Source organism: Homo sapiens, chromosome 10 (genome assembly GCF_000001405.40).
Source record: "Homo sapiens chromosome 10, GRCh38.p14 Primary Assembly".
Taxonomy (NCBI): domain Eukaryota; kingdom Metazoa; phylum Chordata; class Mammalia; order Primates; family Hominidae; genus Homo; species Homo sapiens.
Window position 1 is genome coordinate 70938560 of NC_000010.11, and position 23813 is coordinate 70962372.

The following is a 23813-nucleotide window of genomic DNA, read 5'->3' on the forward strand; positions in this document are numbered from 1 at the left end:
GCAGTGGGTGGGGCCCTCACCCAGCAAGAACCAGAAGGAGGAGCAGAGACAGCTTCTGTTGAGGTCTGGGCACTCATTTGGGGGGTTATATCTCCCTGGGAGCCAGGAACAGTTGATCCCGCAGAGCTTGGTCCCTCGTGGCCTCTCTGTACCCTCAAAGTTGCCCATGCCCCCAGCTTTTCCACCTGCTTCCTGGGCTCCCGGCACCTCCTGCTGGACCTGTGGGCAGGAGCAGGTTGGGATCAGACTCAGAGGCCTTGGCTCACTTAGGTGTTGTGCTGAGGGGCTGGGGTCCTTGTTTGCCAACCCCCACACTCCCGCTCCACCAAACCAGTTTATGAAACTGCAGAACCACAGTAAACTCCTTCCCCTGGCAAGCCAAGGTGGTTGGGCGGGGTTGGGGTGACAATATGTTTCCAGGGGCCCCAGGGTTCTCTCCTCACAATTACCCTGCTAGAGACAGCCTCTGATGATCCAGTCTGGCCATGTCACCAGGCTGAGAGGGACGGCCCACCCAACAGAAGCCACAACAGGTCCCCAAAGAATTTCTGCAGGCTGGGACTCCTGAGTGAAATGAAGAAGTGGGATTCAACAGAGAGAAATGTGAAGTCTGCCAGCTAGGTATGAAGGGCCCATGGCTCAGCTTGAGGGAAGTTTGTGCAAAATCTGCTTGGGAACGTTTGTTAACTTCACACGAACTAACAGTGTGAGCAGCTGCCAAAGCCCTGTGCAGGTTTGCATTGCATTAACTGTTGACATCGGTCTGGCTGTGCACAGACCTCAGCCCGAGTGAGGGACCCTACCCTTGGATAAATGTTGGTGAACTGCCCTGTGTCTTTTGGAGAGGAGTGGGTGGTGCCTGGGCTGCAGAGCCAGGCCAGGGCAGGACTTGGGAGGAACATGATGGAATTCTCAAGGTCTGAATGTCTGTCTGGGGGAAGGAGAATTCCACTTGCTCCAGGTGATTCCTGAAGGGAGAGCTAGCTCCAGAGGGTGGGGAGGGCCAAGAGGTGATTTTCAGCTCAAATGAGGAGAAGTTTCTAGGTTGCCACTCTCCCCCAGTGGCTGCTGGAGGCACAGGGGCAGGAGTGAGTGTCTCAGCACTAGCAGCAGTGTGAGCAAGGGATGGTGCTTTGTCACATGTCTTGCACATCCAAGGTAACCAAAGGACATTTAGTCCAAAGGATTCCAAAGAAAGGGATGACTGAGCCCTGCACCTGGGGGCTGACAGTATTGTCTGTGAGACTTGACTCAGACAAAACACAGAGAGGAAACGGCAATCAGTGGCAGATTGGTTCCACCTTTCTGGAAGAAGCTGGTCTCAGTTAAAGCTGCCCTGCAGTGAGCAGCAGCCTGTCCTTGCAGGAGTGCAACTGAGACCAGATAACCTTGGGCTGGAAAAGGGATTCCAGTTTCAGGCATGAGGAGGGGGTTGGATGTGAACAGACAACCTCTGCGGTTCCTTTGAGTCCAGAGTTCCTCGGCAGAGAAAAACACCCGCAGAACTCTGAGCGGCACACAAGGTTACAGAGGACGGAGCAGAGATCCGAATATAGCTGGCGGGAGGAAGGCGGCAGCGGGCGAGGGGAAAGTAGGTCCTTGGAACAAATGAGGTGGGGCATGAAATTAACGAGGCTGGAAAAGGGCTGAGCTCAGGGACTCCTTTTTAAAGACTGTCTTTTAGTAAGAAAAATGAGGAAAAGAAATTTGGGCAATGGAGATATAATGGAGATTGTAAATGTAGCTATTGACAGCTGGCCCATTGGCCGGAGAGAGGGGCCGCTTGGAGAACAAGGAAGAGATGTAGATCAGTGGGTCTGGGGTGACCCCAGCATGGCATGCAGGGTGGACAGGAGTTGGCTGCTGACATCAGCTGCCCACACCTTGAAGGCTGCTGTGCTCCAGCCCTTGAGCTGGGCCATTCTGTCCCCCTACTGTCACGCACTGTGCTGTGACCTGTTTATCTTATCCCCTGACCTTGGCACGTACTCATCCCTCACTGGGCGTGCCACTTTTCTCCTTTTTGCCTTTCTGGGTTTCACCCCAATCACTCAGCTGAGTCCCTGCCTCTCCAAGAAACCTTCTCTTATGGGCTCATAGCCCACACCCAGTTCTGTTCTGAGCATCTGGGGGCCATTCCACCCACTTGGCGCTTGGATGGACACATTCTTAGGAGCTCAAGCAGCCTGTCTGTGCAATGGGGGAGGGCCTGTCCACCAGGCTCGGTCAGCAGAGTGGTTGGAGGACATAGGATGGACAGTTATTTGCCCCCATGGTGCTGGCCCTCTGGAAATTTAGAGTCCCTAGAAGCCCCGCCATGTCCTGCTTCTTACCTGTGATGTAGGGGTGGAGATGGAGGGGCTTGAAAGGGCCCCTGGTGGCTTTCCCTTCCCTGGCCACTAATCCAGGCTGCCTGCTCCCTCCTCCCAGCCCTGCCAGCTGGCCAAGCTTATCCTGTGGCCCTGTCCAGGTGACAAGGCCCTGGAAGAGGGCCAGCCAGCTGGACTTCTCAGGAGCTGTCACCAGAGCCCCAGAATATGGGGAGTGGAAGGAAGCACAGAGGCAGCAGGGCCCTTCTCTGGGGAAGACAACCAGGGACACTGGGAGCCTGAAACCAGAGCCATTTCACACCTTGCCTATTAATTGCCAGATTGATTTTGGATCCCAGTCTCCAGGAGGACCCAAAAATCAATCCCCTCCACTCCATGCTTCTCTGGGCTCAGGAGTCGTTCTTAAAGCTGCAGCTGTCCTGGCTGCTGTGGCTGAACCTTCCTGTCCAAGAGCAGGCTGTGGGTTTCCAAGCATGCTCAGGGCTAGGCGGCGGCTGTTGGCTTTATTCCAGATCCACTGATCTCTGTGTAGGAAGACTCTTACCCTGAAGGGGAGCCATGGGGTATGATTGGAGAGGTGTTAAGAAGGCTCTCATTCTCAAAGCTCCCTCCTACCAAGATGCCCGATACCCGTAATTCCACCATTAGGAAGTCATTTCTTTGGATACATTTAGGTCAACAGTCCCAGCTTCCAAAATATGGAGGCCCAGGAGAAGGAACACAGATTAAGGCTGTACCATTGCAGTTCCTTGTGAATGGAGGCACTGGAGGCCTCAGGGCATCAGGAGAGCTCTGTGTGAGGGGTGGGGAGGAGGAGGCAGATGTCAGGGCGTGGGGGAGGGAAAGTAGAAGTTGAAGACCACCCAAGAGGAGGCTGTGGAGGGGTGGTGAGCAAAGGAACAGTAGGTACCCCCAAGGCATTTCCCACCTGGGGGGCTGCTTTGGGGCTGTGGTGCTGGGAGACTGGCTCTGTGGCAGGTGAGATAAGATGAAGGAACTCCCGTTGGCTGGGTACCCTCTGTGCCTCCAGCCTTTAGCCAAGCACAGTGGCAGTCTGATGTCACCACCACCCTGTGGGAAGGGCTCCCACAGCCTTGTTTCTTAGATGAGACACTGAGGTGGTGCATGAGGCTGGGTGACCTGCCCAAAAGGTCACACAGCTGCTCCTGCAGCATGGGGGCTGGAGCTTGGGTCCGCCACCTCTTCATGCCATGATTTCACTGCCTCCCGCCTCCTCCGCAAAAGGGGCCAGGAGTTGAGGAGGCTTCTAAGAAGTTGGGAGAGCCGGAGCATAATGGAAGGGGTACCTGAGGTCAAGGACGCCATGATTTCAAGAAGCTGAGGCAGGAAGTTCTATGACCCGCTGATGTTAGAAGCTGGGGACAGCCCCTGGGCTTCTGTCCTCAGCCTCCCTGACATCCTGCCCTGTGCAGAGCCCGCACATGTGTGAAGGCCTGGTGGGCAGGTCTCCTGCAGCCTCAGCCCAGTGGCTGCTGCCTGCTACTCCATCATGGCTGTGGAGATGTGGGCTTTAGGCAGGGTCACTGCAAGTCACCCTGTGTGCTTAGGGACATGGGGACATCATTGCTCATCCCCTTCCCACATGGACCCAATTACTGATGCAGCACTGCGTGTTCCCACGGCCACCAACACGGGCCTCATTCCTGGTAGCATCACAGATGGACAAAGAGGTCCTGGGCCTCCCTCCACCCCCCCAAGCCCATTATGCTAATTTCAGGTGTGTCTCCACTTTGCCAGCCTGGAGGGTGGAGCGTGTGTGTGTGTGTGTGTGTGTGTGTGTGTGTGTGTGTGTGTGTGTGTTGGGGAGGGAATGAGGCAGCAACTGCAAGAAGTTTGGTGCAGTTACAGGGAACAAGTCTCATCTTTGCCCAGCCTGTGAGCCCCTTGAGAGCAGGGGCCATGTCTGTTTTCCAATAACTGACCCCGAGGGCCTGGCATGGATGTGGGTACTCAGTGCATGTTTGTTTAGTGACTGAATGGCTGAGTGAGTGAATTAGGAATCTCTTGGTGGCCATCTGAGTCCTCGCCCAGCCACAGCTATGCTGTGTGGCTTTTGGTGAGTTGCTAGATGTCTCTGTGTGCAGATACCTGAAAATAGTGCCAACTGGGAAGAATGGCTAATGACAGGCATGTGCTGAGGGGATAGTGTGGGCAGGAGGGCTCTGCAGTTTGTGGAAGGTGCCCGCAGTGTAAACTGCTGGGGACACTGGGGTCTCTCTCTTTTTCCCAAGGCAAGGCTGACACGGTTTGGAGCACAGTGTAGTTTTGAGTGGGAGGAGGGGGCTGTCCTAGGCTTGGTTGGGGTGGGGGCATGTGGACTGGCATTGGAACTGAAGGGTGACAGGGAGGGCTGGGTCGGGGCTTGGCCAGGGGTTGAGGTCAGGGGATGGCTCAGGCAATGGCTGGGGGCTCACGCGGATCCTGAATGAAGAAGTTGGTCAGAGCTGGGTACAGCTGGGGTTGGCTTCAGGACCTCAACTCAGGGCTGGACCAGAGGTCTCACCAGGTCAGGGCCAGTGTCAGCCTGGGGCCAGTGCAGATTCTGTCCAATAGGAGCACTGGGAATGGCTCACTGTCCTGGCCTCATTTGCTCTGAGCACATAAGCTGAGTGGGTGGATAACCAAAGCTTTCTGAGGGTGATGGCCTTGAAGAAGTCCTCCTGTCCCCAGGTTGTCCTCGGGGAAGCTCAGGGCTGCCCAGGGACCCAGGGGCCATTTCACCCTGTCTGTGTGTTGTCAGGGGAAGGACAGAATTGCCCAGCTAGCACTGACTAGCAGCTGGAGGGTGGTGTCATCAGCATTTCTCACACATGCACGACACTCTATAGTTTATAACCCCTTTCCTACCCTGCATCTTCTTATCCTCTCCACAGCCCTGAGAAGCAGGCATGACAAGAGAGGATGCCCGTGTTACAGATGAGAAAAACAGAGGCCCTGGGAGGAAGCTTGCCTAATGCCACTCAGGAGGTAGAGGCAAAGCTGGGAAAGGCCCTGGGTCCCCAGACTGCCCCTCTGGAACTCCACATGCAGCCACCTGGCTGTCCTGCCCGGGATGCCATCCGCAGGCTAGGCTGGCGCTCATGCCCATGCCCTGCTGTCCACTGACACCCCGCAGAGCTTAACACCCCGCTGAGCCTGCCCTGCAGCCCTTGCCAAGTCTGTCCGAGTGGCCTCAGTCATTGGCAAGTCACATTGCTGACATCGCAACTGCATAAAATTAATTTATTTAGTTAAGGGAGGTGTTAATTAAGAGTTCTCGTTTATTGTCTTTGCAGACAGCTCTCGGGGGCTTCTGAGTTGTCATTGCTGGTGACAGCAAAAGCTAATGGTATCACAAGTTATTAATAGGACGGTGTGAGAGGCGGAGGGGCAGGAGCTGGGGCTGTGGGGGATGGGAGAATGGAGAGCTGCGGGAGGGGAGAGGATGGTCCCCTACTTTCTTCTCACCAAGTTGGGCTCCCCTCTGCAAGCTGATCCGATCACAGGCATTTTCTGGGGGATCTGGGGTTTGCTGCCAGGCCCCGTGATGCTCAGGATTTTGTGAGTCCTGAAGGAAGTGTCCCCAGGCCAGTGCCCACCCACTCCTGCTGCCCCCATTCCCCCAGTTCCTGGTGTTTGCCTTGAGGAGTGTTGGCTCTCACATAAAGAGCTCATTCTTTGCTTGCTTTGTCTCTTCACTTACCCTAACCCTGAATATCTTGGGGTGCATCTAGTGACAGTTTTAGCTCTGCCTCCCTAAAGCTTAGCACAGAGCTTGGAGCTTCATGGGAGGGCAACAGACATTTGCTAAGGGAATAAGGGGTCCTCTGCCCCCCAGCTGGTCTCCAAGTCTGGCCTTCTTGCTGAGTGATGTTGGGGTCATGGGTGGGGATGGTGGGAGAGAGAGGGCAGGTGGATCCACGACTCCACAAGTCCCCAGCCTCTTTCAGTGCCCTCAGCCTTGCAGCCCTGGAGATCCACAACCTGGGGAGTGGATAGATCTTTGCTGATGAAGGTGAGGTGTGCGCAGGTATGGGCAGCCAGGTGTGGGGCAGGCTTGCCAAGGTAGGGTAGTGAATGGGGAGTCATCAGTGAACTCTGCACAAGGACCACCATGGGGAAAAGGGAAGAAGAGATTTTAAACTATTTTTAGCTAAACAACGATGGCTGCAAATCAGCCACTTGGTGCAGTGGAACAAACACAGCCAAGCAGCTCAGACCTGCAGGCCTGTCCCTGACAGTCTCCGTGACCTTGCGAAGGTAACTGCTCTCTGGGCCTGGCTTCCCATCTGTGAAGTGGAGGACTGGGCTGAAATTGACAAATTTCAATGCCCAATGTGTTCCACACCTCCCATGTCCTGCACAACTCACCTTCCAGTAGATGTGCCAGGCCCTTCATGGTTATCATCTCAAATGCCTACAGCTTCCCTGTGAGGGAGAGTCAATTATTACCCATTACAGTTGGGGAAACTGAGGTTCAGATGAGAAAACGGAGGCCATTTAATTTGCTCAAGGACCCATAGTCAGTGGAATTTAAACTCAGGTTGGTGCTCTTTCCAGAATATCAGCTTATCTCCACTGATCACCTGGGATGGGGCCAGTACAAGGGAGACCCTGCGTTAGATGTGGGCTCGTTGACCAGGGCAGGCAGAGCTGAAAGGAAGAGATCAGAGCACCCATTGGATTCAATGGGCCCAACTGCTGAGCTCCTGGGGCATGGGAGGACAGGTTCTGAGACCATGATGGGACCAAACACACCCTGCACCATGAGTTCCAGCAGCCGCCTGCCCCAACTACCTCCTGCCTGCCTTTCCTCCTCTCATCTCAGAGACACCGTCATTCATTCAGGACACATTTATTAGGGAGCTGGCCTGACAGCTGGGAGATGGATCAGGCTGTCCCCTGCCCTCAAGGGGCTCACCACTGAGTGGGAGAGGTGGCCCCATGAACAGTAAGCCCCACAATGGGTCACAGGGATGGGGATAGCACATGCACCCCCCCAAGGAACGAGGGAGCAAGGGGCAAGTTCAGGTCACCTAGGGCTCCCTGGCAGGAATGATTGCCTTTCACTGAGGGAGGGTGGTCAGAAATGAATTCCTAGAGGAAGCAGCCATTGAGCTGAGTCTTGAAAGGTGAGTAATATTCACCAAGTGGAGGGGATGGGGTTGCGGGGTGGGTCTTCGGGTAGGGCGAGTGGTGTGAGGAGAGTCTTGCAAGTGTGGGAAGAGGGGTATCCAGAAGTGAGGTGGGCGAGGGCTAGAGCACGCAGGGCATTGCACACCAACTTAGAGTCTGAACTTCATCCGGTGGCCTCCCCGGGGATGCTGCTGAGAGTAGGAAGAGGGAGATTTAGTTTGGGTTCCGCCAGAAGCCGATCCTGAGATGTGTGTTTAAGTGCAAGAAACACCGTAGGGACAGCAGGAAGGCAGGAGGGGCATTACCGAGCCAGCTTCCATGGTGGATGAGTGAAGCCCAGTCCTGCTGGGGAACCTGAGAGCTGGCATGGCACATGCGCCCACCCAAGGAGTGAGGGAGCAGGGGGGTTTATGTAGCAAGTCTCACCAGCCATTGCTTGAAGGCTGCTCCCAGGAGGCATCCTTGACATTTCTGGCCTTCTCTTCAGCAAAGAGGACCCAGCAGTCAAAGTCCTCAGGCAAAGAAATAAAGATGGCAGTTGGCGGTTGGGCCAGTGTGCCCTGAAATGGGAAGGAAGAGGGGATATAGGTGGAGAACCAACAGTGTTTGCTACAGTGGCTGAGTTGTGAGAACGTCCAAGAAAGGAAGGTAGAGCACTGCTCAGTTTCTGCCAAGTCTAGGTGGATGGACTCTGAGGGCTGCTGCTGGTGGAAGAATTGCCTCCATCTGCACCTTCGCCAAGGCCTCAGTCTGGGGGCCAGACCTCAAGACAGGAGGCTGCAAAGAATTTGGTCCTAAGCGCCAGCACTTGAGAAATACAGATCTGAGTTCAAGTGCTGATTGCCACTTTCAAGCTGCATCCTTGAGCAAGTTACTTATTATCCTTGAACTTGAGTCTTCTCCTCTGAAAAAGGGGAGATAATACTACCCACGCTGTGGGATTGTTGTGATCAATAAATGAAATGATATCTGTAAAGTATTTAGCCCAGTGCCTTGAATACATTATGTGCCCAATGAATGTTTGTTATCATTATGATTTTATTATTCCAATGATAGGTAAAAAAGGGAGGAGCAAGATGCAGGCTTGTAGAAAACACTGCCAACTTACCAGCCCAGAGTGATTTTCAGTGGCCCACTTTGTCGTTAGGAGTTAAACAGGCGGCCAGGTGTGGTTGCTCACAGCTGTAATCCCAGCATTTTGGGAGGCTGAGGCGGGCGGATCACCTGAGGTCAGGAGTTCAAGACCATTCTGACAACATAGTAAAACCCTGTCTCTACTGAATACACAAAAATTAGCCAGGTGTGATGGTGCATGCCTCTGGTCCCAGCTTCTCAGGAGGCTGAGGCAGGAGGATTGCTTGAATCCAGGAGGTGGAGATTGCAGTGAGCTATCATGCCACTGCACTCCAGCCTGGGCAACAGAGCAAGACTGTCTCAAGAAAATAATATAATATAATATAATATAATATAATATAATATAATATAATATAATATAATGAGAAAAATGGAGTAGGCAGTTCTTGTCTGATAAGGCCATTCCTGGGTCTTGGAGGTGTTAAACAGGCTCATGCAGCATTTCTGGACTTTGTGAGCATAAATTGAACCAGCAGCAAGTGACTTTATATGTCTCTGCTCATAGGTACTGGTTGTGACAATCATTTCTTTGTCTATGACACCTGTCTCCCCAAGAACTCAAGATCAGCTTCAGACATTAACCTAGTGATTATTGCATGATCTCAAGACTGTCCTTGAAATAGTCTCTGAAGATATGGAGCAGAGGAAGGAACATTGAACAAGAAGTGTGGGTTCTTATTTAATTTTTATTTTATTTTGTTTTGTAGAGACAGTGTCTTGCTATGTTGCAAGGAGTCTGGAATCTTATTTAATTTTATTTATTTTATTTTTTATACAGATAGTATCTTGCTATGTTGCCCAGGCTGGTCTTGAACTCCTGGCCTCAAGTGATCCTCATGCCTTGGCCTCCCAAAGTGTTGGGATTATAGGCGTGAGCCACCATACTTGGCCAAGGAGTCTGAATTCTAATTTGGGCTCTAAAATGAATGTCAAGTTCCTTGTCTGAAATGTGGGGATAAAACCACATCATCTTGGTCTCTTCCTAGGGCTGTTGTGAGGATCACATAAGGTCATGAAAAAAAAATCATGAATGTGGAACTACTTTGAAAACTATAAATTAGCATCCAGAGTTGGGACTAGAGCCAGGTGACTTGATTCCTGTGCCCTGGGGGCTTCCAAAGGGCCTAAGAAACCATGGCCACTACAGAAGCCTTACATGTCATCATGCCACTCTAAGGATGGCTCAGGCTTAGCCTCTGGCGCAGGCAGCCTGGGAAGAAGAAAGAGTGCCTGGGGAACCTTGGACCTTGGGAGGAAGGCCTGAAGTTCTTGCTCAGGGACATCAGTGGGGGATGCTCTCAGCTGGCCCCTGGGGATGGAGGAAAGGCAGAGGAGGATGAGACTGGCAGTTATTAAACCAGAAAGTGAGGTAGTTACTGGCATTCCGACCAGTTTGGGGCAGTTTTTCTCATTTCCCTATGCATGCAGGTACATTTCAGGATGTGACTTAAGGGCCTCCTGTCCACACCCAGTTGGTGAAGTCCAGGGAAGCTGGTTCTGGCCAGGATGGCAAGACCAGTGGTCTCTCAGAGGTCATGTGGCTTTCTTTTCTTCCTGGCCATAGACTGGCCTGCTCTCTAGCCCTTCATCTCAGCCAGACTGAATGCAACCCCACCCCATCTCAATGGTCAGCCTTGGTGTCCTGCAATGTGAAGTCATCGTGTGCTGGAGAGGTCGTGGGTCTGGGGCTGGAGGTCCAAAAAGAGGGGACCTCTGCTTATACAAGCAGCTTTGGACTCAGAATCCCCAAATCCAGGGAACGATTTTCACTATCCCCTGGAGAGTGAAGGTCATGGCCTTAGTGGAGCAGAGACAGGAAAAGATGCATAGCCCAGCTTGGGATATCTGGGTGGGATGTGTCCTCCACAAGAGGACAATAATCTCTCATAATGATAGTGAGTGGAGACCACCAGGATGATGCATTGTCACCCTCTCCTTAACCCCATAAAAGACACCAAAGTGGATACATCTTCACATCCTACCTGAACCCCACTTAGAGTACAATGGCTTTGTGGGGCTATTTATATTTTGGGGGCATTTCTCTGTGACTTCTTGATTGGAGAGACCTAAGATATAGAATGAAGATTCTTGGTGCTATTTAGAACCCCTCTGCTACCTGAAAAAGGCCTGCTCTGATGACCTCAGGGCTCAGACATGATTGGTTCAGGGCCAGGGAAGGCAGTATTGAGAAGTTTTTGCATAGGTTCAGACTTTAATCTAGATTCAGGGACCCAGTCAAACTGTCTCCCTAAGATCTTATTTTAGTTTTCAAAGCTAAAACCTCTAAAAAATTGGCTCTGCTTGCTTGCAGTTTAAGTAAAAACCTTCATATTTATGGCTTTTCTAGTTTTCCTTCAGTAGTTCACATCCATTTAACCCTCTGAATCTAGAATATGCTTTGTGAACTGAGATTATGAGAGGAAGCCAGTTCGGAAGACAAGGGTCATAGCATCCAGAGGTTTGGAGGAGAGGGACCTGGGAGGGGGGGATACAGGGATGTAGTGGGGAAGGTAAAGGGGGGATATTGGTAAACCAAAGAGTGAGAGTGAATGGTAAGTAATCCAGTGGTCTAGGAGAGAGGGAGGGGTGACTGTTGAAGGGAGAAATAGAAAAGATGGAGGAGAGAATAAAATAAAGGGTTCGAAGAGAGATGAAAGTGCAGTAAAATGTGAGGACAAGACATGATGGAAAAGAGAGAGCAGGAGGCAGAAGAGACGAAGAGGAGGCAGATGAGGCAGGGGAAGTGAGGTGGAAAGAAGGTGGGAGGGGGGTAGGGGTTGGGGCATGGAGGTCCCAAGATCTGGACTCTTTTTTGTCACCATGCATCTGTACAGCAGATAAATACAATGCAGCTGGGCTTTTCTCTCTTCTTAATTGGCATCTTTGGATCTATCCCCGCTTGACAAATCAGGCCACTTATTATTAGTGATGACAAGGATAAATATGACAGGCATTCATTTTGCATCTGGGCCCCCTGATAATAGAAGTCAGCACACCAGCCCCTCTCCCCACTGCTTTCTCACTCCCGGCTTGGGCTCCCCAGTGGGGAAACTGAGTGTCCAGGAGCTGTCCATGGCTTTGCGAGGTGCTGAAGGCATCTACAAACCCTCTTCTGGTGGGAAGGCAATGGACAGGAACGCTCCACAATTTGAGTGGTGCTGAAACCCTCTATACCCTGCCTCTTGTCTGATTCCAACGGGAAAGCTGGGTGGCTGGAAGCTGTCCACAGCCTATGTGGTGTTGAAAGCCCTGTCCCCAGGGCTGGGGTGGCAGGGTGCATCTCTTTCCCACAGAACACAATTACTTCTGGCATGGAGTGGTCAGTGGCTTAAATTTACCTGCCTTGCCATGGTTCTAAAAGGCCTGGATGACTTTAAGTGTGTTCCTTCCCAACTCTGGGTCTCAGGATTTCCACCTTTAAAATGAAGGGCCAAATTAGGTGTTCTCTCAGGGCCCTCAAGCACTAGCCCTTTCTGTTATCAAAAGCCTTCAAGAGATTCCTTCTGCTTATAGGATCGAGCTACAAATCCTATAGCCAGGCCCTGAAGGCCCTCTCTGGCCCCTGTCCACTTCCTGGCTTTGCCCTCATTCCAGCCAGATGAGCCTTCTCTCAGGCCCCAGACACACTCTTCTTTTCTTCCCCTGAGCCTTTGCCATCCCCACTGCCCTCCTTCTGCCTCTGACTGTCTCCCTTCCTGATCTCTGGGAGCACTGACCACCTGGGCCCCCTCTTGAAAAACAATGGCCTTATACTCAGTGTGCTTTCAGTTTCTTTTGTCTTATATGGCTGTGTCTTACATGGCTCCCCTTGAGGGACTCCCTGGGGCCAGGGTCATAGTCCAAATCAGTAATCAGTGGCTCACAGTTTCCCATGACCATGTGTGTGGAGCATGGGTGAGTACTTGTGGTATTTTGACCCAATAAGCTCTTTTAATAAAACTTATGATTGCTCTTTCAAGGCTGCCGGTGAAAGAAGATTACTCCAAGAAGTGCTTAGCTGAGGCTTGTGGCCCCCTCTTTGAGACAGAATCTTTCTGAGGCTCCCACTCCAAGCTGGCATGGGTGGCCGAGGTCACACTTATGTAGACAGATAATTCTGCCTCATGCCTCCATGGAGTGGCCGAGACATGGTGGGTCACACACACAAGCCTCCATCTCTGTTTACTCTGAGCCTATGAGAGTTGACCCAATGCCCTCATTGTATGGTGGTCACAGCTGTCCCACCTTCAACTTTAGGGACCTTTCAGGGAGCTTCCAACCCACTCACCCCACTAGAGCTCAGACTACCTCATAAAGTTTTCTCTCTGGAGCTCAACCGCGGAGGATCCAACTTGATTAGTGGAGATGTGAGAGTTTCTCTGCACACTGTTCCCATACAGGTGAGTTGCCTCTCCCTCTGCCCTCCATAAATAAGGAGCTTCCATCTATTGGGCCGGGCAAGCAAGTAGAGAAGTGGTGGCTCTCTTTTCTTCGTTAAACCCATGGGGAACTAAAAATGGCCCAGAGGTGGCATCATGCATGAGGTGGGCATCATGCAAAGATGGGCATCATGAGATGAGGGACTCCTCATCTCAGCTAAGCAGGCAGAACCACATCCTGATAGTCTAGAAAAAAATTCTTGGGAAGAAAATTCTCTCCTCTCTAGGCCTATTATCAGCCAATTCACCAGGACAGGCCTTGGTATCCACTCTGCCCACTGCCCACTGCTTGGCAGAGCCCCTAAAGCCATGGCTAGTAACCAGAAGTTCCAAATGGTTTAGAGGGGAGAGCTGTGTTTGCTAACGGACCTGACTGTGTCTGACAAACTGAAGCCATGTGCTTGATGGCCTCAGGTCCTCTGGGAAAGAGGGCTCAGAGCACTTACCTTCCCTCAAATATACTGGCACATTCTCGGAATCCCAGCGTTTGCCCTGTTGAACCTCTTATCAGTGATCAAAGGGCTTGGAGATGATCTTAGATTCTAGACCAACTCCTTTTTTTAAAGATGGGAAAACTGAGATTTCCCCAGGAAGGGAAAATCAGTTGCCCGAGCTCACACAGCAGAGAAAGGAGCATCTTTGACTCTTGGCTCTCAGTCTCAGGCTCTTCCTCCTCCTGCCAGAAGTGTTTGCATTTTAATAGAATTGTGGAGGCTGAAGTGCCTCGTGACCCCTCTAATGGTGGGGACTTCAGGCATCGTGACATGTGGTGATGGAGATTTTGGGGATCCCTGCTGAGGCTGAGTCTCCTGCCTTGTGGAGAATGTCTATGACCTCCAGCAGAAGAACTTTACAGAGAGCAGAAATGTCAGGGCACCCCTTTAGAAACTACCCTTAGGACTCTGTACTCTCCCAGGCTGATGGGGGTTGGAGGGCCTCATTTGTCTCTGCACTGGGGGATGAATGGCTCGGGAGGAGCTAATGAAGCTGTCTTCCCACCAACACACCAAGACAGTGACGGATGGCTCATGCGGAAAAGGCAGGTGTTGGCACATGGCCCATTGGACAGGGTAGAGAATAACACGTCCCTCAATGTCACTGTAGGTCACAGTGGTGGCTGGGACCCCAGGGAGGGGACATGTAGGCTCTGGAGTGAAGTGACAAAGACCCCAGGGAAAGCCAGTGCCTCCCACAGCCCCCTTTTTGTGACAGGCAGACAGAAGGTCAGAGTTAGAAGTGTGATAACTACCATATAATCCTGCTAGCTCATTGTCCAAGTGGAAGTATACAGGCCCAGGAAGGGATAGTGAGTTGACCAAGGTCACACAGCTAGCTAAGGTCAGAGATTGCTGCAAAGGTCCTCAGCGGTCCAGGGGAGGGAGAAGAGTGACCTCAGGATGTATCACTGTAGCACTGTTCTCACCTGCAGGGCAGTGGGAGGGGAGGGTCCCACTTTTTGCCTGGTATTAGAGACCTTGATGATCCGTTTGCACCTTCTCTTCCTCCTCACTCTGCAGCCCACACCATCTGCCTTCCACTCCCAACCTCTGAGCCTTAGCTCATGCCCGCTGAGGGCCGGTTGTCCTCCAAGGGCCCCCCATCCATCTGTCTGCTTATCCATGAGAGGCATGGGCCCAAATACCATTTGTCATCGTGCATTCCACTTGGCATTCTGAACTCACTCCCAGTGCAAGGTCCCCACCTGAGTGGTGTCCCATCACCATGCCCTCTCCCCATTAGTATTTTGGAAAAACCTCTCCAAAGAACATTCTCTTCCATGGCAACCATTCTTGAAGTTTTGGAAGTATTACAGCTAGATGCCAGAAGCCTGCATTCCTGGTGTATAGGAAATAAGTCAGGCCAAAGAGGGGAGAGGGATGGAAAGAGAAAAGGGTAGAGTGAGTTCTTGGCTTCTCTTCAGGCCTAGAGCAGTTTCACCCCAACCCTGGCCACTGAGATCTTCGCTTCTTTCTGGTCCAGGTGGTCAGTCTGGCCTGGGTGGGCCTGTGGGATTTGATGGAGGAAGCAGGAGACAGAGTGACTCCAGATGCAGTTGTTCCCCTTACCTCTGCCAGGGGCTCCTCACCACTGCAAGTGGTCTTGTGAGCATTAGCTTGCCTGACTCCTGCTACCACAGCCCTGGGAGGTGAGCTGGGCATTGTTGGCCCCATTTCCCAGATGACATCACTGAGGTCCAGGGAAAGCAATGACCCAGCCCAAAGGGATCAGTGGGTTAGTGGTATTTGTTCATTTTCTCAAATCAATAAATATTTATTGAGGCACTGTGCTAGGTGCTGGGAAAATGAAGATGAGCAGGGCAGACATGATTCCTGTCTTGCAGGGCCTTTCAGAGGCCCCAGGTGCCTGCATTGCTGGGTCTCTGGCCTCTGGAGGCACATGCATTGGCAAGAGCATTATCTTGAGAGTCCTCCCTTGAAACTCAGTGTGCAGATTTGTACCTCAGAGCTCTTCCTCCTGTCCATGGGACTTTCTTGGAAGCCAGCATCCTTGAGGGCACTTCCCCACCTTCTTCCCTCAGCACATCCATCGGCCCCTCACAGTGTCTGGTCTTCAGTGTCTCACCTGCCAGGACCTCCTCCCTTATCTGCCACTCACAGTTCCTGTTATTCACCTTTCACAGGGAATGAAATGAAAGAACGAAGAGGAAAATCTTAACCTGTACAGCCTCTTGGATGATGGGGTGGGAAGTAAAGACCTGTCCCCCAGTTTCCTGCTGCCTGGAGAAATCTGGAAGATCTCCTAGGGCTTTGGAGAATGAAGGCACCCTTGTCTGGATGCCACCACAGCCTCCTCCCTCTCACCCCGGCCTCCTCCTCCTCATCTTCAGCCCACCAAGGCCAGATTTGTCTTGCAAAGTGGCATCATTATAAACGCATCAGCCTCCTCTGGACGCCTGTGCCTGCTCCCGCCAGCCCATCCAGGCTCGATTACATCTGAGGCTGTCTGGGGTAATTAAGTGACATTAGGACGCATCCCCTGTTGTAATGCAGTGTTCAAAGCCCTGGGCTCTTGCTTCCCAAGAGCTGCTGCCGCTGCACTGAGGCTGTGTCTGCCTAATGCACCCCACTGTGATTGTGGCTAATTACTCCACAGACAGGCCTCATTAGTGGTGGGTTCGGGATGGAAGGTGAGAAGCAGGCTGTCTCCCCTGCCTCCCCCAGCCCACGGGCTTTCCCTCTCCCTCCGTGACCAAGCTTGCCTTACTTTGCTGTTGAGGCAGGATTAGAATAGGGCAAAGGAATTCCCAAAAGACGTCTCATCTGGGCAAGGTCATCTACTGAGCTACAGGGCCTTCAGGAACTTTCCAACTGCTTTATTCAACTAATGGGAAGCCAAGGCCCAGAGGGGGTTACTGACTTGCCCAAGGTCACACAGCACAAGTGAAATGCGCCACCTTTCCTAACTGCCCAGCTTGGAGGGGTAGGGGCAGGCCAAGTGGGATCATGCACAGCCAGGACCCACCTGGGTCCAGAGCTAGTGGGAGAAAGGGCTCATGGGCACCCAGGAAAAGAGCTGGATGGCTACGCTACCCCAGAGGCTCTTTCTGGTCTCTAGGCCTTTGCAACTGTTGCCTGGAATCCTCTTCTGATGCCCTCCACCTGCCACCTTGCACCTGGCTGACTCCTTTCATCCTTCAGGTCTCGCTTTCTCCAGGAAGCCTCCCCTAACTCCTGAGTTTTGTGCTCCTCATCCATGCTTCCATGATACTCTGTACTTCCCCATCTTGGCAGTCATCACTCTGAATTGTCAACACCTAATACCCCACATGCTATACCCATAGGAGGAGCAAGCTCTGAGACACTCTTGTTCATGTAGTAGGCACTGGCCTAGCTCACAGATGGCCTTTGATAAGAATTAGTAGAAGGAAAGATGTAATGATTGATGGCTGCTTGACCAGTACAATGAGTACCATGGTAAGGCTGTTGGTGTTCACTCACATCTGAGAGTTTCTTTATACTTCTCAGCCTCCCTTGCTCTTAGGTTGGTCACATGACTCACTCCAGCAAATGGGATGTGAGCAGAAGGTATATATGTTACCTGGAATGAGGTGAATAATTACCTGGTGTGCTTTTCTACAATCCTTGTTGCCTGAGTGATGCCAAGATCATTTTGAAGCTGCAAGATGGTGGAGCCACAAGATGAAAGGAACCTGTATCTCTGAGTCACCACACAGAAGAGAGACATCTAGGAAAGCTGCTTGACATGGGTCATATGAGTAAGAAATCAACCTCACTGCGCAAAGCCACTGAGAAATCAACCTTCCTGCACAAAGCCACCGAGATGTTGGGGCTACTTATTAGAGTGGCTAGTGGGAATTACTCTGACTAATATAAAGGGGTTAAACTTGATGGGATGCAAATAGGAAATGGCTTCATTTTTTCCAATCACTGCTTTAAACATGCTCCTATTAAGCCTCCTTGCCCTGTCTCTTGACAACATCTTGGACAGATTCTAAGTTTTCGGTTACTGTTGGTTGTAAGAAGAGTCTCATCTTAGTAATTAGGACTCGCTTTCAGGGCCAGTCCAGCCTCAGAGATTTATGCTCACATCCAGTTGAAAACTTCTTCCTTTCCTTCAGCTCAGGGCTGACCCATGGCTTGGAGATAAGATTGGTCTGTTCTTTTGCTTCACTTCTGCTTTCTTGCCCTTCTGCTGCTGCTGGCTCCTTGAGAGTCAGAGCAAGGAGATAGAGGAATAGTAGAAAAAGGGGCTAAAAGTCTTAGGTCCCCGTCACTGTTGTAACCCACTGCTGATGTCCTGGGTGTCAGGTTCTCCGAGGCTGGTGTTTGGGATGGTGTTTTTGTTGGTCCTTTTGAGACATTACATGGACCACCTTCTGCCCCCTTCTCTGATGGTGGCTGTGCAGAATGCAGCTCGGGATGGCCTCCTGTTATACTCTCCTCTCCTGCCCTCACCCAGTTTCCACCACCAGGGGTATGTCCAGGCCCATGGGGAACACATGCATGCTTCCTACCATATGACAGCAGGCTGGCCCTCGGTTCTCACACTCCAGTGTGGCCTGCGCCAAGGCAGGCACCTGAAAGACCTGGGAGGTAACAAGTCCAAAAATGAGTGGAACCATCTGTCCCTTCTTAGGGGCCCTATGGAGGGAGGAAAGAAGCCTGAAAAATAAATGGGGCTTGGAATTCTGTTGGCTACAGATTTGTAACATCGAAGTTGAGGGGATTATTTTGTGTCACAAAAGGATTCTTCTAGGAGTTACTAACTTGGAGTTTGGCTAAGTGGAGGGGTAAGGGTGAGACAGATTATATCGCTGGTCTGTGCTTTTTGTAGGTCATGGGTTCTTTGGGGAATATGATGAAAGTTCCCTAGAAAAATGCATGTATTCATGTACGGATAGTATTTATTATGAAATTTTAGGGCATCCTGAATCCCACTGTGTCTGCCAGAGGGGTCCATGAAATCCCAGTTAGTTATCTCCAAACAAAAGTGCTGCTCCCCTGAAGTCTGATTCCTTCAGTGTGGACCCATCTGGGGACCCTGGCACCCACCCCCTGCCCCCTTCTCAGACTCTCTCTGCAGCATCACAGTGAACTTACTCTTCTCCAACACACATGACAATTCCTGCCTTCATGTCCTAGCCTGTGCTGTGCCTCCTGCTGGGGCATTCTTTCCTCCATGCCACCCAGGTCTCACTGTTGTGCAGAGCTCAGGCTACGCACCATCTTCTCTAGGAAGCCATTGGTGGTAGGCACAATTCTAAAGACATTGCCCCAAGACTCCTGTCCCTAGCTGTTCAGTTGAATATGAATCTAGGTAGGCTGTGAAGAAGGGATTTTGCAGAAGAAATTAATGCTACTAATCAGCTGACCTTCAAGTAGGGAGATTAACCTGGATTATCTGAGTGGCCCAAATATAATCACATGAGCCCTTAAAAGCAGCAGAGGAGGGCAGCAGAGTCAATCAGAGAGATGTGGTGGAAGGGGAGGGCAGAGAGATGAGGCAGAAGAGAAGGTCAGAGCAGAGCAAGTCACAGTGCAAGGAGGACTTGACACTGCATTGCTGGCTTTGAAGATGTGGGAAGAGGCCAGGAACTGAGGATGTGGACAGCCTTCAAAAGCTCAGAATCATGGCAAAAAAATGGGGACCTTGATCCTGCAATGGCAAGGAACTGAATTCTGCCCACAACATGAATGAGCCTACAAGCAGATTCCTCCCCAGAGCCCTGAGAAAGGAACACAGCCCTGATGACACCTTGATTTCGGCTTTGTGAATCCCAGAGCAGAGAACCAGCTGAGCTGTGCCGTGCCCAGATTTCCAACCTACAGAACTGCGAGGTGATAAATAGGTATGGTTTAAGCTGCTGAATGTGTGATAATTTGTTACAGCAGCGATAGAAACTAGCACATCATTGGCAGTGCATTAAATAGGGCCACAAAGTCTTTGACATACTGAGAGGTGGAGGTGCTTCCCCAGCCCTTTAATCTCAGCTGGTCCGTGACTGCTTTGACCAAGGTGGCCAGCAGAAGTGAACATATACCAGTTCCAGGTCCAATCTTTAAAAACACTGAGGCCAGGCACAGTGGCTCATGCCTGTAATCCCAGCACTTTGGGAGGCCAAGGCAGGTGGATCACCTGAGGTCAGGAGTTCAAGACCAACCTGGCCAACATGGTGAAACCCCATCTCTACTGAAAATACAAAAATTAGCCAGGTGTGATGGCGGGCGCCTGTAATCCCAGCTACTCGGGAGGCTGAGGCAGGAGAATCGCTTGAACCTGGGAGGCAGAGTTTGCAGTGAGCCGAGATCGTGCCACTGCACTCCAGCCTAGGTGACAGAGGAAGACTCCATCTCCAAACAAACAAACAAACAAACAAATAAAAATACTGGCTGCTCCCACATTGGTTTCTTGGAGCTGGGACCTGCCATTTAAGAACTTTGGCTATGCCGAGACATCATGCAGAAAAGAAGCCCAAGCTAGCCATGTGGAAAGGCCATGTGGTGAGAGATGCCTGGTCAGTTTCAGCTCCCAGCCATTAGTCATCCCAGCTGAGGCCACGGACATCATGGAGCAAAGACAAGCCATCCCCACTGTTCTCTGTCTGAATCACTGACCCACAGTACAGAAAGATACAATAATAATAAACTACTGTTCTTAAGTCATTAAGATTTGAGGTAGTTTGTTACGCATAGATAAATAACTGGACTACACCATGTCAGTTTCAACTCCCAAGGATTTCTCCCTTCTTTCAATTCCTGGAGCTCACTATACTGCTGCACGCACTTGACTGCAGAAGCTGCTCTAAATATGTCTGCAGCAAGAAGGGTCAGTGGTGGGGTTGGCATGTTTCCCCTGCCCCGAGACCCGCCCTAGCAGGTTACACTGCACACTTGAAAGTTCTGGGTGAACTCAAGGTCTTGAGTCTGCATCTGCAAGTCAGTGCCTGGTAGACCAATGAAGACTTCTCTGGCCCAGATCCTTTTGAATATAGTGTGCTCTGGACTATATGGAGCTCTCCCCCCAGCCGGCTGGTACTACCAGGAAGAGAGCTGTCCCTGGTGGTGGCAGCCGTTAGAGGAAAGTCACTTATTATGCTGGACATACCCAAGGATTTCCTTACTCACATCCTTTCACACTGATGTGGGTGTTCTTCCCTCTGTTCCCCATTCTCATTTCCTCTGGGATCACCCCCATCCACCTCAGAGAATACAGAAAAGGATTTTGCCCCACCAGCCATGCCCCAACTCCCTAAGGTTGACCAGTTCTCAGGTTACTCCCAGGAAGCAGTGGGACACTTTATGAAAACTAAGTAATGGATTGTACCAAACCCAAAGACAACCACCAGACTTTGTGATCAGACATGATTTTGTCTTCTTCAGGGGACCGAGGGTAGAGACCATGGCTTAGATTTCTCTGGGTCCCCAGTGGTACCCAGAATGAGGCCGGGCACGAACGAAGTTTAATTTATGAAGGTCAGTCAGCATCTCTGAAATGAAATTTCGAGTCCAGACATCAGAACTATCCTTACAAAATATCCTTCCTGGGTTTTGATACCTTTCTTTGCAGGCACCCTTGGTTCAAATGAAGTCTTACGTGGAAGCTGCACAGCTGTGTCTTGGAATTGGGGGATGGGCAGGAGGCCCTGTTCCCTCTACCTTCTCATCACTCCCACGGCATCTCTGAGGCAGCTCCAGGGAACTCTGAGATCCATAGGGCATAGTTTGAAACCCATGGATTCATCCATTCTGGTGGTTTTCTAGCAGAGAAACTGAGGCTCCAAGAAGGTCTGTGGGTCTGTGGCTTGCCTAGGGTCACACAGTGAATAGAAATATTGGGACTAGAACCCCCATCCTAGCTCCTTACCTTCTTCCACGTCCCACTGTCCTAGCCAGAATCATAAAGCCCTAATATGGACAGGCCCTCTAGGTCAGCACCTCTGGGAGCAGGAACCCTTTTTGTAGGCCTCTAACAAGAAGGACGGCATCAGCTTGCATTCCCTCCAGGGGTTAGTTGCTCACTACTTCCAAGGCAGCCTATTTAATAGTGAGACTGTTCTAATTCTTAGACTGTTCTCTTTTATGTGGAACCCAAACAGATCTTCCTATAAATTTTTGTCCCATGTTATGATATATTATGTATATGAGGGCCAAGAATCCTATGCTGTGGCCCTGCTGCAGGGACCTTTTAGTGTGTGTGAGAATGTGTGTGAGTGTGTGAGTGTGAGAGTGTTGTGAAAATGTGTGTGGGCGTGTGAGTGTTGTGAAAATGTGTGTGAGTGTGAGTGTGTGAGAGTATGTATGTGTGTATGAGTGTGAGAATGTGTATTTGTGTGAGTGCATGTGGGTCTGAGTGTGAGTGTGCGAGTATGTGTGTGTAAGAGTATGTATATGTGTGAGTGTGAGAATGTGTGTGAGAATTGTGTGTGAGAGCATGTGTGAGAATTGCGAGTGTGAATGTGTATATGTGTGAGTGCAAGAATGTGTATGTGTCAGCATTGTGTATGTGTATGTTTGAGTGTGTATGTGAGTGTGTATTTGTGAGTGCATGTGAGTGTGTGTATATGTGTGAGACTGAATGTATCTATGTGTGAGAATGTGAGTGTGAGAATGTGTGAGTGTGTGAGAATGTGTGCATAGAGTAAGAGTGTGTGATGGAGTGTGTGAGAATGTGTGTGTGAGTGTGGGAATGTGAGGAATGTGTGAGTGTGAGCATGTGAGCGTGTGTGTGTGAGAACGTGTGTGTATGTGTGAGAATGTGTGTATGTATAAGTGTGTGTGTGAAGGTGTGTGTGCATGTGTATGTGAGTGTGAGTGTGTGCGTGTATGTGTGTGTGAGAATGAGTATGTGTATGTGAGAATGTGTGTGTGAGTGTGAGAGTGTGTGAGAGTAGTGTGTGTGAGTGTGTGAGATAATGTAAGTGTGTGAGAATGTATGTGAGAGTGTGTGTAAGTGGGTGTGAGAGTGAGAGTGTGAATGTGTGAGTGTGTGTGAGAGTGTGTGTGGGAATGTGTGTGAGTGTTAGAGTGTGTATGTGTAAGTGGGTGTGAGTGTGTGAGAGAATGTGTGAGTGTGTGAGAGAATGTGTGAGTGTGTGAGTGTGTATGTGTAAGTGTATGTGTGAGTGTGTGTGCGCTGCTGTTACTCTCCCACCCTCAGCTATGATGGGGAAAGCTGGCTCTTCCCTGACAATCCAATCCCCATGTCCTTGGCTCCATTGCCTGGCTGGCAAGCAGGGCTGAGGCTGCCATGGTGAGTGAGGGCCTGCTCCTGCCGGGCCAGAGGTTCAGAAGGGTAGCCAGGTTATTCTCCAGGTAAGGTGGGGAGGGGCAGGGAGGCAGAGGCGGAGAGGGCTCTCCAGCTCACCCAGCCACCGCCGCTTCTGGCCACCTCCATGTCTTCACCCTCCTCACAGAGCACAGTAAGGCATACATCAGTTTGTCGGGGGAGTGAAGGGCATTAATGGAGGGGGAGGGAGGCCAAGGCTGTGGATCGAAGGAGGAGAACTTCAGGACCCTCCAGGGGCAGAGATCAGCATCGCTCACCAATCAGTATTTCCTAAGCCCTGGGGTGGGCTGCAGAGCCAGAGCCAGTTAAACTGAGGAACTCATGAGGCCCTCATTCTGTGACAGTCGCCATGTGTGCTGGAAGGAATCAGAGTCCATCTACTCTATCCTTCCTTTCCTCCTCTCACGGTGCAGACCCATCTCCACAGAGAAGGTGGCTCCACAGGTGGCTCCACAGAGGGGTCTTCTCCAAGGCACCTCCTCACAACCGTTGGCATGAAGCTGGGGACACATCTCCCAGCTTGGGGCTGGTCTTGACCTAGAGGAAGTCAGTAGTGTCCTTCACTTTGTGACTGGATGGGGACCAAAAGTCACTAAATTTTCAAAATGTTTCCTCCCTGCCCAGCCTACCAAGTAGACAGAGATCCCCATAGAACTTCCATCTGGAGGTCAGAGCATCGTGTCCAGGAGCCCCTGGGAAAAGGCAACTTCTTCCTGAGGAGGACCAGGACCACAGATCCTGAGCAGGACTAGCTGACTGGATTAGACAGGCTTCTCCAGAGATCTGGAGCTGCCACCAGGAAAGGTATGGTTTGAGGAGTGCAGCAGAGAATGCCCAATGCCTAATGCTCTTCACTAATGTATCCTGCCGCTACTCTCACCTGGCCTCAAAACCCCACACTGCTCCTGCAGCACCTGGCACCCTCCCTCCTCCAGGAATGTGCTCTGGCTGGGGTCTCAGCGGCAAGGTCTGATTGTTTAAGGAATACCCTGTAGGAAGCAGAGGGGGCCAGACCGGAAAGAGAGAG

At 51.2% G+C, this 23813-nt stretch overlaps 1 long non-coding RNA gene across 2 annotated transcripts; it reads left to right on the plus strand.

Annotated features, from left to right (window-relative positions):
• Positions 1–493: 493 nt before the first annotated feature.
• LINC02622 (long intergenic non-protein coding RNA 2622) lies at positions 494–17082 on the plus strand. Of its 2 annotated transcripts, NR_134313.1 has the most exons (3): positions 494–621; positions 15660–15987; positions 17005–17082. It is a non-coding gene; the product is annotated as a long intergenic non-protein coding RNA 2622 (long non-coding RNA). The 2 variants fall into 2 exon arrangements; NR_134314.1 differs by lacking the exons at positions 15660–15987; positions 17005–17082 and adding an exon at positions 5225–5585.
• Positions 17083–23813: the final 6731 nt, after the last annotated feature.